Here is a 17,781-nt window from a genome sequence, read left to right as displayed (position 1 = left end):
GAGGCAGGAAAATGGCATGAACCTGGGAGGCGGAGCTTGCAGTGAGCCGAAATCGAGCCACTGCACTCCAGCAGTCTGGGCGACAGAGAGAGACTCCGTCTCAAAAAAAAAAAAAAACGAATTTCCATTCCAATGACCACATGCTTCCCATTCCCAACATTACCTGGAAAATGTCCACTAGAATCATGGTTGCCAGCAGCATGGTGACTATTTCAAAATGTCCCGTCTTCATTTTTCTCTTCTAAATTAAAATAAAGAAATTTCAATTCAGTAGACTCAAAAAAGAGGTGTAGGGAAGTAGAATAGGATGACACTGCGTATTTTTTCATTTAGAATGTGAGTGGATAGCATGATGGTCAGGAAGTGATTATCAATAAATTCCTAACGGGCTACAAGAGCCATTAGGCTTTATCTAGTGGTCTAATGCTCTCATTCTACAGACGAGGAAACAAAAACACCTTAGAATTTCAGTGATTTGCTCAAGATTAAATCTGTGCATTTCCATACTCCTCCAGACATGTCATCTCTCCCACCACAGTCACTGGGAGTCATATTTTCTTCCCATCTCTAAATCTCCCCTCAGCGTGCACAGGAAATAACACAATCAGACTAAAAAACAGCAGTCTCAAATTGGTCCCCTAGCTCCCAGTTTCTAAGAATTCCCCAGGAATATGTCCATGCACATTATCCATTCTTCTATCCTCTTTGCACATTGTCATGCCCTTTTGAGTGGGACAGAGGAGATGATGAGGTCAGTAGTGGTACAAAGCAGTGGATTGTCAGAGATGGCCCCCTTCCCCCAAATACAATCAAGAGAAGCCCGAGGGTAAAATAAGTGTCTTACATAACTTTCTGAAGGCGGGAACAAGAATAAGAAGGAACTGGGTAGGCAGCAATTCTAAGATTATACAACTATTGGCCGAATGCCTAATATTCATCCCAGTATTTATGATAATGTAACTCAAATGAAGCTTCTATTTTACCCTACCAATCACCATATTCTGGATTCTAAAAATGAGAATGAACAGCACAGGGGAAGGGAGAAGTCTTCCCTTTTATAGATCATTTTGGCCTCAGTTTCCCATATTTCTTCAGAAGCAGTTTTGTTTTGTTTTTACTAAAAATACTAAAATATAGTACCAACATGCTACTTTGTGTTAAACTTCTCTTTCCAAAAAAGATTTGAATATAAGATGATAGATATCTGTCACAAGGCAATATGTTTTAAGCAAGCTTTGATCAGGATTTTCCTAAAAATTGTTCATTTCTTTAGTCTGAGTGTAAATAAGTCAAAAGGTTTACCTGGCTTTTGTGCCTTTGGAGGAAGTTTAAGTGATGCTAGGCCTCAAACTGACTCCCCACTCTCAGTTGTGGTAAGCAAGTCTTCAGGATGGGATGTTGTTGACAGTGAGAGCTGAGACAGGAATGCTTTTCTTTTTATAAACACCCCCAGCAGTAGCTTGGCAGTGGCACACTACGCTACTTGTGTTCTGCTATTTATATCTGGCCCCCCCACACTATGCCTTGGAATCACTGCTGTTAACACTTTAAATCTCCAAGAGGCTTGTAAAGCCATAGCAATTCCCTTTAGCCACACAGCACATTCAGTTCTGAGCCCACAGTTCTGGGCTTCTCTCAGAGAGAAATGACTTCCCATTCCTAATCCTTTGACACTGAGATATCAAACTAAAGCATGGATTTTACTCTAGGCTAAGTGATTCACATAACTAGGGAAACTTGCTCTGTTAATCACTGGCAATGGTGACAGCTATCACCATTCGCTCAACTAGCTTACTATATTTCAGGTACCTCGTCAGGAGTCGGGATACATAAGCAAGTAAAACAAAGTACTAAAAAGCACTCAAAATCTAATAAAAAACATGAATACGCATACTTAACCAAAATACAACATGTTAAGAATCCCAAGTATAGACAAAGTCCAGTGATAACATTAAGGAGGGAAGGATTTGGTAATGCCTGCAACTACAGCTGTCATTTGAGTAACGCATACATGGTAAATATACTGACTGCAATGCTGAGGAACACTTAGGGTTCACTGACTGTGGATTTAAAAAACACAAAAATGTCCAAAGAAATTCACGCATACATACACCAAAATACATTAATAGAATGTTGATAGTAGCACTATTCATAATAACCCCCAAACTGGAAACCAAATATCCATCAACAGTAGAATGGTTAGACTGTAAGTGAAATTTTATATAGCAATGAAAACGAACAAACTCTGACCATATATAACAATGTGGATAAATCTCACAAACAAAATTTTGAGTAAAAAAAGAGATACAAGCATGTTTATACTGTATGATTTAATTTATATCAAGAACAAAATTAGGCAAAACACTTCCAAGGCATGAGAAGTCAGAATAGTGGTCACCCTGGGTAGTAGCTAGTAACTGGAAAGGGCACAGAGGAGCATCTGAGATGTTAGCTGGGTTCTGCTTTTTGCTATGGATGCCAATTACATTGACAAATTCAGTTTGTGAAAATTCAGTGAGCTATATACTTATGATATGTGTTTTTTTTGTACACACATATATTACTTCAAGAAAACATTTTAAATTATCATGAAATACACCTATATTTACAAAATCCAACTCTACTCTTTAGAATAGAGATATGTTCCAACCTTTTCCCACCTCACTGGCTTGGCAATCCAAGATTAAATACACAGCACAGACTCACTCCCAGAAATAATATGATTTTTTAAAAAGCAGGAGTTTGGTTAGAAAGAAAAAAGAAAGTTTGCATGTCTTCAGGCCTTAGGCTCACAACAACCTGCTTTTAAGTTCCAAGCATGTAGGCCTACAGGAAATGAGGTAGAGAAGTTCTCCTGTCGCTGGCCTCCATTCCTGTTTTGTTCCAGTTTTTAACCAAATTTCTTTCATTCATTCATTGAACAAATATTTGAGTCCTTAAAATGTGCTAGGAACTGTTTTAGGTACTAGAGATATACCAGTGAACGAAATGGATAAATATCTTGCCTTTGTGAAGTTTATATTCTTGTGAGGGAAGGCAGTCAAATAACTAAAATAAGTACGTAAATTATGCAAGTATGTTAGAATGTAGTGAGTGCTATGGTTTTGGCTTTTGTTTATAAGTAGCACAAAGGAGACTAGGAGCGCATGGAGTGTTTGCAATTTAAATTGGATTGTTAGGGAAGACTCACTGAAAGGTGGTATTTGAGCAAAGACTTGAAAGAGATCAGCCATGAAGACTGTGGCAGTCAAACACAGTGAACAGCACGTACTAAAGCCCTGAGACAAGAATATGCCTACTTTTGTTTGAGGAATAGTAAGCAGGCCAATATGGTTGGAACATTAGAGTAGTACAAGATAAGGTCAGAGATGTAAGGGGGTGGTGGGAAGACCATGTCAATCTCTGCAGGCCACTGTAAGAACACTGGCTTTCACTCTAAGAGAAAAGGAGCAAATCACAGGTTTTAAAAAGAGGTATAACATGATCTGATTTATTTTTTAAGAGGATCACTCTGGCTGTTATGCTGAGAATGGTCTGTAGGGTGAATGTAAGAAGACTAAATGACAGGTTATTATAATAATGCAAGCAGAGATTATGGTGGCTTGAATCAGGAAGGCAGCATTAAACGTAATGAGAAGTAGATGTGTGTGTATGTGTGTTGTTGCTGTTGCTGAGGTGGTATGAAGTGGATGTCTGAGTGTATGTTTATGTTGTTGCTTTGTTGTTTCTTTGGTTGTTAGAAACAGGCCATTTTTATTTGAGCCTGTTAAAAATCCGACTTTTGTAGATTAGACACAGTATTTCCTGATACGATAAGGAAAAGCATTTGTGGGTTCTAAAAGTCTACTGTATTTTCAAAAATGTAATAACTCACAAAAAAGTAAATGGAAATGATCTATAAAGATATCAATTTATTATACAGTTAAAGTGTTTGTAATCTCAGAGATTTGGAAGCCAGGGCAGGAGGATGGCTTGAAGCCAGGAGTCCTAGCCTGGGCAACACAGGGAGACCTTGTCTCTACAAAAAAATTTTAAAAATTAGCCAGGTGCAGTGGCACATGTCGGTAGTCCTAGCTACTTGGGAGGCTAAGACAGGAAGATCTCTTGAGCCCAGGAGTTGCAGATTACAGTGAGCTATGATGGTGCCACTGCACCCCAGCCTGGTCAACAGAGTAAGACCCTGTCTCAAAAACAAAAACAAAAACAAAAAAAAATGTTTAGACTTAAATGCAGGATATAATTTGAAGATTGAGGCAATAGGATGTACTGACAAACTAGATGTGGGCTGCAAGAAAAAGAGGGGAGTAAAGAATAGTTCCAAGATTTTTAGCTTGAATAGCTGGAAGGATGGAGTTGTCATTGATTGACATGGAGAAGACCGTGTGTGGAAAAAGTATCCTGGAACTCAAGTGAAGAAAATACTTACAAAAGAAAGGAAAGATCAAATGTGTTAAAAGCTTCTGATAGGTCAAGTAAGATGAGGACTGAGAACTGACCATTGGATTTAGCAATGTGGAGGATATTGAAAGTTTTGTTTAAGAGCAGGTCTGATAGAAGAGTGGAGATGAAAGCCTGGTTAGAATGGCCTAAGAAAGAATGAAAAGAGGAATTGGAGACATTGGAGATGGTTAATATCTTCAACTCTTTCAAGGAGTTTTTCTATAAAGGACATAAAAGGAATGAGGCAGTATAGCTTGATGGTGGGACCAGGGAAAAGGTAAAGAAGAGAGTCCAAGAATTTTTTTTTTTTTTTTGAGATGGAGTCTCGCTCTGTCACACAGGCTGGAGTGCAGTGGCACGATCTCAGCTCACTGCAGCCTCCGCCTCCCTATCTCGGCTCACTGCAGCCTCTGCCTCCCCAGTTCAAGCGATTCTCCTGCCTCAGATTCCAGAGTAGCTGCCCACTACCAAGCCTGGCTAATTTTTGTATTTTTACTAGAGACGGGGTTTCACCATGTTGGCCAGGCTGGTCTTGAATTCTTGGCCTCAAATGATCCGCCTGCCTTGGCCTTCCAAAGTGCTGAGATTATAGGCATGAGCCACTGTGCTTGGTCAGAAATATTTTTAAAGACAGAAAAAAACCAGCATGTTGGATATGATCTAGTAGATAGAGGAAAAAACTAATAATATAGCAAAGAGAGGGTAGAATGATTGGGTCAATCTTCTTGAGTAGGCAAAAGGGGATGAGACATAGCATACAAGCAGATGAGGTGGCCTTAGATAAGAGCAGGAGAGGTTCATCTAATATGAACAGGAGGAAAGGCACAGTATATTGGCAGATGCTGGAAAGAAGTGGGTTGCAATAAAAATTCTTTTCTACTTGCTTCAATTTTCTCAAAAAAGTAGTAACAAAAGATGATGGTTTAAGTGACAGAGACTTGAAGAAATTGGAGAAAGAATGAAATAGTCATCTAGAAAAGGAGAAGAGTGAATGCCTTATGATTGCTGGGCTGCATTAAGGGGCTACCTGAATTTAAAATGAAATCACTTAAGATGGTTGTATTTTTCTCCAGCTACGTTCAGTTCCATGGTAGATGCAGACTAAGCTAAATTGGATTGAATAAAGACTGTAGCTTTTTCAAGCAAGGATAAAATGATTATTTTATTGAATGATTACGGGCAAAAGATCTGAACTGACACTTCACAAAGGAAGATATATAAATGACAAACAAGTAGAAAACGATGTTCAACATTATTAGCATCAGGTAAATGCAAATTAAAACCACTATACATCCACTAGAATGGCTAAAATTAAAGACTAACAACATAAAATGTTGATGAGAATATGGAGCTACTGAAACTTTCATACATTACTGATGGGAATGCAAGATGATACAGCTATTTTTTAAACAATTTGGCAGTTTTCATAAAGTTAAACTTATATATTTACCATATGACCCCGTAATTCTACTTACAGGAATTCATTATACTTAAAAGAACAGGAATTCATTATACTTAAAAGAAATTATTAAAGTGTATGTTCACACCTGTCAAATGTTCACAGCAGGTTGATTCATAATAGTCAAAAGGTAGAAACAACCCAAATGTCATCAACTGGTAAATGGATAAACAAATGAAATAACACTCAGCAATAAAAAGGAACAAATGTCCTCAAAATGTTAAACATAGGGTTACTACATGATCCAGAAATTTCCCCACTCCTAGGCATATATCTTGGGTATATGCCCAAGATCCAGAAATTCCACTCTGAGGCCTACATCTTGGGTATGTTATATGTGCACACAATCACTTGTGCACAAATGTTCATAGCAGTATTATCTATAATATAATATAAATATAAATATATCTATAAATATAATAGTCAAAAAGTGGTCTAGATTTCAGTCCAAATGTCCACCAACTAGTAAATGGATATACAAACTGTGATATACCCACACACTGGAATATTATTCCACAATAAAAAGGAATTAAGGCCGGATGCAGTGGCTCATGCCTGTAATCCCAGGACTTTGGGAGGCCAAGGCAGGCGGATCACTTGAGATCAGGAGTTCGAGACTGGCCTGGCTAACATGGTGAAACCGTGTATCTACTAAAAATACAAAAATTAGCCAAGTGTGGTGGCGCGTGCCTGTAATCCCAGCCATTAGGGAGTCTGAGGCAGGAAAATCGCTTGAACCCGGAAGGTGAAGGTTGCAGTGAGCTGAGATAGTGCCACCGCACTCCAGCCTGGGTGATAGAGACAGACTGTGTCTCAAAAAAAAAAAAAAAAAAAAAGGAATTAAGTACTGATACATTTACATGAAATGTCCAGAGTAGACAGATCTATACAGACAGAAAGTAGATTATTGATTTTTTTAGGGCTGGACGTATAATGGGGAAATGAGGAAGACTGTTAATGCGTACTAGGCTTCTTTTTAGAGTAATGAAAACATTTCATCTCCCCAAAAAAGTCACCACATGTCCTTTGTAGTCAATCTCCTCCCTTCACCCAAGGCTCTGGAAGTCACTGATCTTCTTCCTGTCACCAGTTTTGCCTTTCCCAGCATGACATGTTAACTATTATCATACAGTCAGTATGTAATTTTTTATGACTAACTTCTTAGCATAACACTATGAAATCTATCAATGTTGTTGCATGTATCAGTAGTTCTAAAAATGATTGCAGTGATGGTTGCACAAATCTGTACACACAATAAAAACTATTTAAGCCATGCACAGTGGTTGGAGTAGCTAAAGGAGGATCACTTGAGCCTAGGAGTTCAATGCCACTGGGGCAACACAGTGAGACCTCATTTCTTAAAAACAAAAACAAAAACAAAACCCATACAAGTGAATACTTTACATGAATGAATTTTTTTTCTTTTAAACTTTTATTTTAGGCTCAAGGGTACATGTGTAGGTTTGTTATATAGGTAAACTCGTGTCAGAGGGGTTTGTTGTACCCATTACTTCATCACCCAAGTACTAAGCCTAGTACACAACAGTTATTTTTTTTTTTATCCTCTATCCTCTTCCCCTTCCCACCCTCCACCCTCAAGTAGGCCCCACTGCCTGTTGGTCCCCCCTTTGTGTCCATGTGTTCTCATGATTTGGCTTCCACTTACAAGTGGTAACATGTGATATTTGGTTTTCTGTTCCCGCATGAGTTTGCTAAGGATAATGGCCTCTAGCTTCATCCATGTTCCTGTAGAGGACATAATCTCATTCTTTTTTATGGCTGCATAGTATTACATGGTATATATGTACCACATTTTCTTTATCCAGTCTTCCTTAATGAATGGTATTGTATGTGAATTGTATCTCAATAAACATGCTTTGAAAAAGAATAAACTATTAATACATGCCACAATATGGGCATGAGGGAACACATTTTTTGGGTGATGAAATGTTTTATATCATGATTGTAGTAGATGTTACATGATGATATACATTTGTCAAAAGTCACAGAACTGTACACTTCAAATTTGTGAATTTTATTTACATAAGTCATACCTAAATAAGGCAAATTTTAACAAACAACAACAAAAACTATCTTGCCTACATACTCCCTGAAATTTGTGTACCCCCAGATATATATGTATCCCAATTTGAAGACTACCACAGTAAAGTATCTGTAATGCAATGGCCCATGAATGATGAGGAAAGAGAACTAGGTGAGTCAAAGGAGCCTAGGGTTGTGGTAAGATAAATACAAGGTATTTATATTTTAGAGACTGGATGCCAAGGCACAACATTACAGTGGTGAGTGCAAATTTCTATCAGCCAAAGACCAAGCAGGATCAGATACCTCGGGGAAGGCCAATGACCGCTAGAGGTCAGCACCAGAACAAGATATTTCTTCAATGGCAGGCCACTGCTCTTAGGAAGAAAAAGAACTCTGAATTTAAATATTTATTCAAAGAAAACTTTCAACTTTGAAGTGACTAAATTTTAATTGACAAGATTAAGTGTTTTTACTGTTACCAAATTTTAACTGACAAGATTAGTGTTTTACATGGGGGTTTGTGAACTACGTTGATTTCCAATAAAGAGAAATACATATTCCTTTTTGCACATGATTCCTCACACTATGACATACTGACACTGGGAAAAATTGTAGTTTGTTCTCTGTTCTCTGTTAGTTCTAGCTGTTAGTCTGGTCTCCAGCAATGGTGACATTTAATTGCTAGCTCAGTAATTTAGTGTTTTTTTATAGATTTTGGGAAAATGTTTGCTAAATTCCCCCATCGTAGCCTCCTGGCATTGGGCATTCTAAAGACAAACAATTTCTATGTCCTTTCACCCTGTTCGGTGGGCCTCCCACAAACTCAAGATGCACTCCTTTGCCCTTGGCGGGCATCTTCTTAAAGAAGATCATAAACTGGTTTGTACCCCAGTTACCTTCCCTAAGCCCAAAGGGAAACCTAGGAATTCTATCATGACAACTTTGATTTTAGAAAACTGGAGAGAATCTTTTGTCCTTTCCCAACTCATTCTGCTACTTTGTTATGTTCAACTTGTTAAATATAATGCTTTTTCTAAGAGACCTTAAAAATTCTCCAGTTTGCCCAAGTGATGGTGGCAGCCACTCCAGTTGGCCTGCCATCATCCCAGCTGTGGCAGGAAGGTGTGGCCAGGGCTGCCTGTTCCACAGAGCAGGCAGGAGCCCTGCCCTCCTGGGCAGGGGTGCAACTGCCCAAACTATGGCAGCAGACTCAGGTATCCCTGCACTCTTGGGGGCCTGGGAAGGCCCCCCTGCCCTCACAAGCTTAAAAGTGCCTGCTCCCACTGCTTGGCTTCTCCCTGCTGTTGGCTCCTGCTCCAATCTTGGAGCAAAGTCAGGCTGAGCCTGGGCGTCATGAGTAGTAGGAGGCAGAGTCCCACGTGGAAGGGGGTGGGTCTCCAGTAAGGTCCTTCTGTCAGGTCAGGGAGGGCCTGAAGGCTGGGGCCCAGGCTGCCAGTTCCACTGACTGGAGTGGACACTGGTGCCTTTTCCAGGCCTGCCCATGACCACCCATGGGCCAACCAGTGTGCACTTCCTCCCCTCTGAGGTCCATAAATAGCCGGGCTCAGCCAGAGCTGAGCAGAAGATGGGATGACCAGCAGCAGAGAGGAGCTACCCTCTCTGCTAATTACGCTCTCTGCTAATAGCTTCAGAGATCTGCAGAGACTGCCGAATGACCTGCCTGCAGAGAAAAGCAGACCTCAGGATGACCAGCGAGCAGAGAGAAGCTGCCATCTCCAGGGCCTCCTCTCTGTTGAGAGCTGAACACTTGACAGACGACCTGCCTGCCCACAGAGGGGAGCTACCCACTGTGGGTCTCCTTCTGAGCAGTTACAGCACTAAATAAATCTCCTCTTCTTCTTCCTCACCCTTCATTTGTCTGCATACCTCATTCTTCCTGGACGCAGGACAAGAAATGGGGCAAAGGCCCCACTGGCAACAGAGGTTTACAGGGGAAGAAAATCAACACCCCAAAGATCCTATAACACAAGGAGAAGTATGAAAAGAAAAAATCTCTGCTGCTAAAAGATTCCCTGAAAATTACTAGGGTGTTTCTAAACCCCTACATCAATGCTTTCTAGGGTTTCAGTCCAGAGGAGCCACAGGAGTCTGAATTCTCTTTTCTCCTTTTCTCTGTTCTAGAATCAGGTCTTCCACTCCCAATTCCTGTTAGGCATTGCTTCCTATGTGCTATTTCTTTCACCTTTATCCTATGTACTTCTTATTCTGGCATTATCAACCTTTTCCTTCCTTCAGACTACTAAGGATAATCTTAAAGGTTACAGAGTACAGACAGACTTTATAAAGGGAATGAAACATATATCTATTTAGTATTTTCAAAATAATGCGTATTATCCCTACACCATTCAATATATAATGATTAGATTGCTTTATTATATTTAATATATTGATGTTATATAATACAACATATTCATATATGTATATATTATTATAATGTAATATTATATTTGTGGACAAATCCTATTGGTAGATTTTAGGCCTCTAGGCTTTAATTCTCAACTTTCTTTCCCCCTATTTCAGTGAGAGAGACACATTCTTATCAAGGACAAGGAGTCTCTATGGTAATGATTTCAACGAGTGTGTGTGTGTGTGTGTGTGTGTGTTGGAGGGTTATATCAGAGTGTGGGAGGTTCAGGAGGTCCTTGAATAAGGCCATTTCATTATACCATTAATGAGAAAAAAACCTGATTCTCAGCCAGGACTACTGTCTATGTGGAGTTTGTACATTCTCCCCATGTCTGTGTGGGTTTCTCCAGGGACTCTGGTTTCCTCCCACATCCCAAAGATCGGCATGTTAAGTGAACAGGTTTGGAAATGAATGAATGAACACCAATTATTGTATAATAAAAATTCCAAAAGTATACAATAATAATACAAATGCACAAGATTAAATGATTCAGTACAAAAGCACTCAGTGAGCTCGCCATATTTGTAATTGTTTGTTTTTGAACTTTGTGGTGTTAAGAAGTGCACCTCACAATTTTTGCTTTGCAAACACTTCCTCCTTGATTGAACTCACCACCACTATGGCTACCATTACTCACGCCTGTGATCCCAGCACTTTGGGAGGCCAAGGTGGGCAGATCACTTGAGCTCAGGAGTTCGAGACCAGCCTGGCCAACATGGTGAAACCTCGTCTCTACTAAAAATACAAAAATTAGCCAGGCATGGTGGCAGGTGCCTGTAATCCCAGCTACTCAGGACGCTGAGGCAGGAGAATCGCTTGAACCTGGAAGGTGGAGGTTGCTGTGACCCATGATCTTGCCACCGCACTCCAGCCTGGGTGACAGAGTGAGACCCTGTCTCAAAAAAAAAAAAAAATTTACTCAATATTCCAACTCCCATCTTTCTACCAACACTGATAATTGAAGCAATATTGTTAGTATATTTTAAAGCATCCACTTTCAATATTCTCTTTTTGGTACTCATTTTGTAATAAGAGGACGTTAGCACTGTTACCCTTCCCTTCACCTCCTTTCTGCCTTTCACCTCCCAGCTTCCATCAGTAGTTCTTTTATCTTTATGTTGTCAAAATGTAATAACATTTGCTTTTTGTTCTGTAGCCATGCTTTAAGTAAAGGTCTATTCTAAAATTAAAAATCAAAAGTATAGTTTACTGCAAGTTTATTGCAACCAGCTATATATTCTTTAGTATAAAGACAAGACACAAGTTAGGATTTTATTTCCATCTCTGCTGTTTCAATGTCATGATCACTATTCACACTCAAAACAAAACATTTTTATGTCAAGATCAAATGAATATTCCTTTCCCATACTCCACTAATCCCTTAAAATCATGCCTCACTTTTGTCTCTTTTGTATTTAGATCACTAAAATTTTTTATTTTTCCTTTAGTTTCTGAGTGCCTTTTTTGGTGGTGATGGTAGTGGTGATCATGGTGGTTGTTGGGAAAAGTAGTATTTGTCTCCATCGTGTACCTAATGTGCTTCTATTTCCAATTCTATTGCTTGGAATCCATTTTGTTCTTATTCTTGAAGACCAGTTCTAACCTGGACAAACTGCTCTCCAGGCCAACAACTAGGAGACTAGAAAATCTTTCAATTGAATCCCTGGGTACTTTTTCCATTTCTTGTACTCTACAGTGGTTTTATTTTTTTAATTTATTTTTTGTCTCATGCTACTGCATCTACAGCTTTTTGCTTCATATTTATCTTTGTTTTGTAGGAATATATTCTGAAATTATTTCCTTAAAAAGGATGCATGGAAGATAAACATTTTCAGTGCTTTCATTTTTGAAATGTGAATCTGATGAACAGTTGGCTAGTATATAATTCTAGGTTCAAAATAATTTTTCCTCAGAACTTTGTATAATACATGAAACTCTAAAAGATTTGTATAAATTCAATGTTTAGTGCCAAAATTATTCTATTTTTCACTATCATTGTTTTAAACTAATTTTCAAGTGCAGGCTTTATATTACTTTTAGCTTTCTTGTTTTTATGTTCTCCGAGTCTCTGTCAAATAATGATATATAAATACATGACTACTTAAATACCTATTGGGAAATTCTCATCAAAGGAATATATATGGCACAACCGGAGAGACCTTATTGTAAGTCCATTTTCTAATTTTTTCAACAAAATTCAGGATTTTTTCCTAGTTTCTTTTTGTGAATCTTGTCTTCCTAACTACAGATTATAAGCTTCTTTTAATCTCATTTTAAACTCCTCATTTCTCTCCCCATTACTCCCAGCTTAAAATGGTATAAGGTACAGAGAATATATTCAAGACCTAGTTAAGAGAGATTTGGTCAGCAATGCTTTTAACTCTTCCTGAATTATGTCTTGAATCTAGTATATGCTTATTTATAATTGTAACAAGTTTTTGCAATGACTCATTCCTTCATTACATTTAATCTACAAATGTTTACTGAGCACCTACTATAGGCCAAGCACTATTCTAGGTGTTGGGATGTTGTCAGTGAACAAAATAAAAATCCCTGCCTCCAGGAAGCTTCCGTCCATGAAGTAGTAGAGAAAAAGAAGGCAGGCAATAAACAATGAAAATAATAAATTAGTAATTACGCAGTGAAAGAGATAAAGAATGAAGAAGTGTGAAGTGTGGGGAGTTGGGGCACACTATAGTATTAAATAGAGTGGTCAAGGTAGGCCTCACTGAGAGAGTGAAATTTAGCAAAAACCTGAAGGAGGTAAGGGACTTAAACAAGTGATTAGCTGTAGGAAAGCATTCCTTACAGAGAGAATAGCTAGAAGTGTATTGTTCAATGGCCACTAGCCACCACATGTAGCTACTGAGCATTTGAAATGTGACTTGGGGCCGGGCTCGGTGGCTCACACTTGTAATCCCAGCACTTTGGGAGGCTGAGGTGGGCGGATCACGAGGTCAGGAGATCAAGACCATCCTGGCTAACACAATGAAACCCCATCTCTACTAAAAATACAAAAAATTAGCCAGGCATGGTGGCAGGCACCTGTAGTCCCAGCTACTCGGGAGGCTGAGGCAGAAGAATGGCGTGAACCCGAGAGGCGGAGCTTGCCGTGAGCCGAGATCCCACCACTGCACTCCAGTCTGGGCAACAGAGCGAGACTCTGTCTCAAAAAAAAAAAAAAAAAAAGATTTATTTTTCTTTCACATAAGGATGAGATGCTCTGAGATGTTTAAATCTCTGCAAAATGGTGGATCATTTTTAAATGCTTAGCAATAACGATAATTTATAACAACTAATAGCTAGCCTTTATTAACTACTTAATTACACACAAGGCACTGTATATTTTATATTGACTAAACTGTATAGTTCTCATAATAAACCTAAAAAAATAGTTATTAACTTTTTTCCCAAGGTTGGAAACCCCCATGAAGTAACAATCATTAGAACATAAGTCAAATTTAAAAGAAAACTAAAGATACTTAATGCTTTTTAATGTAAGCTTACTCTCTCTGGAACAGGATATCTTAGCTTTTAAAAAATAGGAAGCAAAACTAAAAGGGGTAATCCCTCTTGCAGATAAGAACAGTGGATGATTACATGAGTAGGTCTGGTAGCTTTCTTATACGAGACCATCATCCATAATGACTTTCTCTTCTGAAGTAACTCTTTAGTGAGTTCCTGTCTATTCCTACTCCAAATACCAAACTCAAATGCTCTCTTCTTAGCATTTACATAAAACTAACAAAAGGCTACCCTCAAACTATTCCAGAAACATTGCCATCTAAAATTGTCCTTTAGGGAAAGGGACTCTAGAAATTCGTGTAAAAATCCACTTCAGTGGTTCACAATTCTTATTCTTTGGCATTCTTCTCATTTACTCTTTAAACCAACATTTACTGAGCCCCTAACTAAAGTGACAATTCAGTTGAAGACTAAAGAAGTAGGAGTTAGGGAAACAAAGAAAGGAGGGCCTTCCAGTCAGATAAAAAAGTATGTACAAGGCACTGATGGCATACATAGCACATGTTCAAGAAAATGCAAGCCATTTAATACAGCTGGACAGCATGATATGTTTTATGGAACACAAAGAGTTAAAAAGTTGGGGAGGAAAGAGGAATCAGATCATAAAGAGCGCCTTGTGTGTAATGCTTAGAAATTGGAACTTGACTGAAATGGCAATGGGAAACCATGAAGTAGAGGAGAAACATAATCTGATTGAAAAGGTCACTTTCATAGAACAGAAGAATAAATTACCAAGACATTTTAACAAGAGGCAGGAAGATGTGTTGGGAGATTACCTGAGAAATCCAAGTGAGAAGTGGTGGGAGCTTGACCTAAATCAGTGGTAATAAACCCCAAATCAAAATGATTTGGTATCAATTATATAGCATAGGGATGTGTAGAGAAATAGTGTATTTTGAGAAAAGGAGTTTAAACTGACCCCCAGATTTCTGGCTAAGGAGTCTGAATGGTTAGGAGCAACATCAAGATAAAAAATATGAGCAGGTTTTAGGGAAAAGAGTTTTATCTCAATGTAATGAGTTTGAGGTTCCAGCCAGATACTGTAGAGAAGCTATCCAATAGGCAACTGACTAGTTCAGAGAAAGATCTGAGATAGTCATTTAAATTTGAGAGTCATTAGCTGCAATAGTTTGTTACTGTTGCTGTGCAAACTATCATGACTTAGTGGCTTAAAATAATACACATTTCTTATCTTAAAGTTCCTAGATCAGAAGCCTAACATAGATCTCTGTAGGCTAAAATCAAAGTGTTGGCAGGGCTAAGTTACTTTCTGAGAGTCTAAAAGAGAATCAATTTCTTTGCTCATTCGGGTTGTTAGCAGAATGCAGTTTCTTGAAGACTTAAGATTGAGACCTGTGTTTCCTTGTTGACTGTCAGCTGAGGGCTATTCACAGACTCCAGAGGCCACCCACATTCCTTGGTTTGTGGTCCACTTTCTCCATCTTCAAAGCCAATAACAGCAAGTGGAATCTCTCATAATCAAATACCTCCTGCCTCTTCCACTGCATCTCTCTAACTGACTGCTCTGTCTTCCTCTTCCTCTTTTAAGTGCCCATGTTATTACAGTGGGTCCACCCAATGTATATATGTATTTTGAGGTCCATAATATAAGTCCAGTGTTCCTTTTGCCATGTAATATAACATATTCACAGATTCCAGGAATTAGGGCATGGAAATCTTTGGGGAATAATTATTCTGCCTACCATGTTAGCCAATAGGTGTGTAGGCTTGCAGATAGAGAGCATAATACCCTAGAGAACACTAGCATTTAGGTGCAGAGAGAGACAAGATTTCAAGAAGGAGATTGAGAAGGAGAATAAGAAGCCTCAAGAAAAGAGATTTTCATGAGAGAGAAAACAGTTGATTGTCACAGCCAAAATAAATCAAACTGATATGAAATAAGGGTTCTTTGGGCTTGGTTATATATTACCAATGTACTTATGATATCAGTAACTTAATCAGTAACTTATGATTCCACAATATTCTACAACAGTATTATGTTCCAAAATAGAAAAACATCTGACATCAGTAGGTTAAGAAGAAAATAGGACAAAGGCTTGAATTTGGGGTATCTTACATGTTAATTAGACTTTATAAACCAGGAACTACGGAAATGAGTTTTTTAAGACCTGACTCCATGCAAGGCAACAGGATGAGATGGAAGATAAATTAGACAAGGTTCCTTGCCCTGGAGGGACCTCTCAGACTGAACAATCACCCTTACCATTTGACATCTATAGGAAAGTAGGTTCTGATTTCCTAACCAGTGACTCACAAACAGATTTCTTCCATATAAACCCACAACATCCTCTTTGCTAATTCTATGTGTTAGTGTTACATATCTAACTTATATTTGGCCAGTGGTTTATTCTGTATTCTTCATCTCTGTGAGACATGTACAAACTTGATAGTTCTCCAACTTGTGTTTATAAAGTTTGCCTGCTTTTTCTCTTAAGTAAATCCTCCTGTGCTTAATGCTACTAAACTTTACTAATTCATTTCTCTAAATTGTCAGAGTCACTTGTTACTTTAATTTAGTTGTCCATACAAATTGGGATTGCCTGAATATGTAATGAGAGTACTGAAAGGACATTTCTTTTTCCTTTAAGCTACCTACAAGGAGGAAAATTAGTTGAGAACATATTTAAGAAAAAAGCCACTTAATTACAGTTTTTTTTAGTTAAAGAAGAAAGGTTCAATTCACAGCCTTTTAAATGCAAGACCAAGAAATAAACTTTTAAAAATAAATTTAACAGATTTTTTAAAAAATTCAATTCCATATTATAGTCAATTAAAAAGTAAGGATAGAGAAAAGGACTGGAGATGCAAATAAAGCTCAGGAAAAAAAAAAGAAAAAAAAACAAGAGAAAATAACGAGAAGACAGCAAGAAAACAAAATTGATCTTTGGACCTTGCAAAGCAAATATCTGCTATTAGATTCTTCCCCTGCCCCACCAATCCAAAGGCAACCAAAAAGTCTGTTAAATTAAGTTTAGCCTAAAGCTGTCTCTTTACATATTTTAAGTTCAGTCTAAAGGTTTCTCCATACATTGTGAACTATAACCTAAAGGTTTCTCCATACATTGTGAACTATAACCTAAAGGTTTCTTCATACACAGTGAACTGTAACCTAACTGGATGTGTAAACAGACTGTAATCTACTCTTGTGCCAATCACCAAGTTTCAGCCAATCAAGGACAGCCAGCTGTTCAACCTATGCTCAGATAAGGCAAACTTCAAGCTGTAATCAATCCAGCTGTTTCCGTACCTCACTTCCATTTTCTCTACGTCACTTTCCTTTTTCTATCCATAATCTTCTTTCACCACACAGAGCTCTGGAACCTCTCTATTCTGGTTGAGGGGCTACCCAATTCACAAATCATTCTTTGCTCAATTAAGCTCTGCTAAATTTAATTTGTCTAAGGTTTTTCTTTTAACAAGCCACAATTCCTGCTGTTTACAAATTTTAATTCAATGCACAGAAAAAAAAATACCCTATGGAATGAAAAACAAGCTGCTTCTGCAGCAAAGACTACAGGTTTGTTGTGTTTGTGTGTATGTGTATAAATAGATAGGAAATTCCTGTTACTTTTCTCACCTCTTAAATATTGGTTTTCTTTTTTCTTTTTGGCCTAAGAAACAGAAAGACAGAAATGAATATATCTAAACATATGAATCAGCAGTGATTGATTCCTAGAATTATGAAGCTTACTGAGTCAGTAACTGTCAATATATGCATTTAATCAACTCTCTATTTAACTCAAAGTCATTCTTCCTTTACAGCAACCAGTACCTTGTGAAACTTTACACCTCTGGCAATTTAAGGAAGCTCAGTCTCTACATTAGGTACACTAATCAGACCAAACTCAAGCAATTCATTCAG

At 38.2% G+C, this 17,781-nt stretch overlaps 1 protein-coding gene across 45 annotated transcripts in view; it reads right to left on the bottom strand.

Moving 5' to 3' along the window:
- The window catches only part of ART3 (ADP-ribosyltransferase 3 (inactive)), a 101,597-nt gene that overhangs the window by 36,665 nt on the left and 47,151 nt on the right, over window positions 1–17,781 (bottom strand). For 23 of the 45 annotated variants that reach the window (NM_001437647.1, NM_001437642.1, NM_001377173.1 and 20 more), the window contains exons 1-2: window positions 1,303–1,413; window positions 164–241 (exon numbers count right to left, since the gene is read on the bottom strand). In NM_001437647.1, coding sequence (NP_001424576.1) covers window positions 164–232 — 69 coding nt within the window. In that variant the 5' untranslated portion in view covers window positions 233–241; window positions 1,303–1,413. Of the gene's footprint in view, window positions 1–163; window positions 242–1,302; window positions 1,414–17,496; window positions 17,531–17,781 lie in introns of those variants that run through there. The other 22 variants (XM_047415697.1, XM_047415700.1, XM_047415695.1 and 19 more) reach the window with 2 other exon arrangements.

Source organism: Homo sapiens, chromosome 4, assembly GCF_000001405.40.
Source record: "Homo sapiens chromosome 4, GRCh38.p14 Primary Assembly".
Taxonomy (NCBI): domain Eukaryota; kingdom Metazoa; phylum Chordata; class Mammalia; order Primates; family Hominidae; genus Homo; species Homo sapiens.
This window is presented reverse-complemented; position numbering and strand designations above follow the sequence as displayed.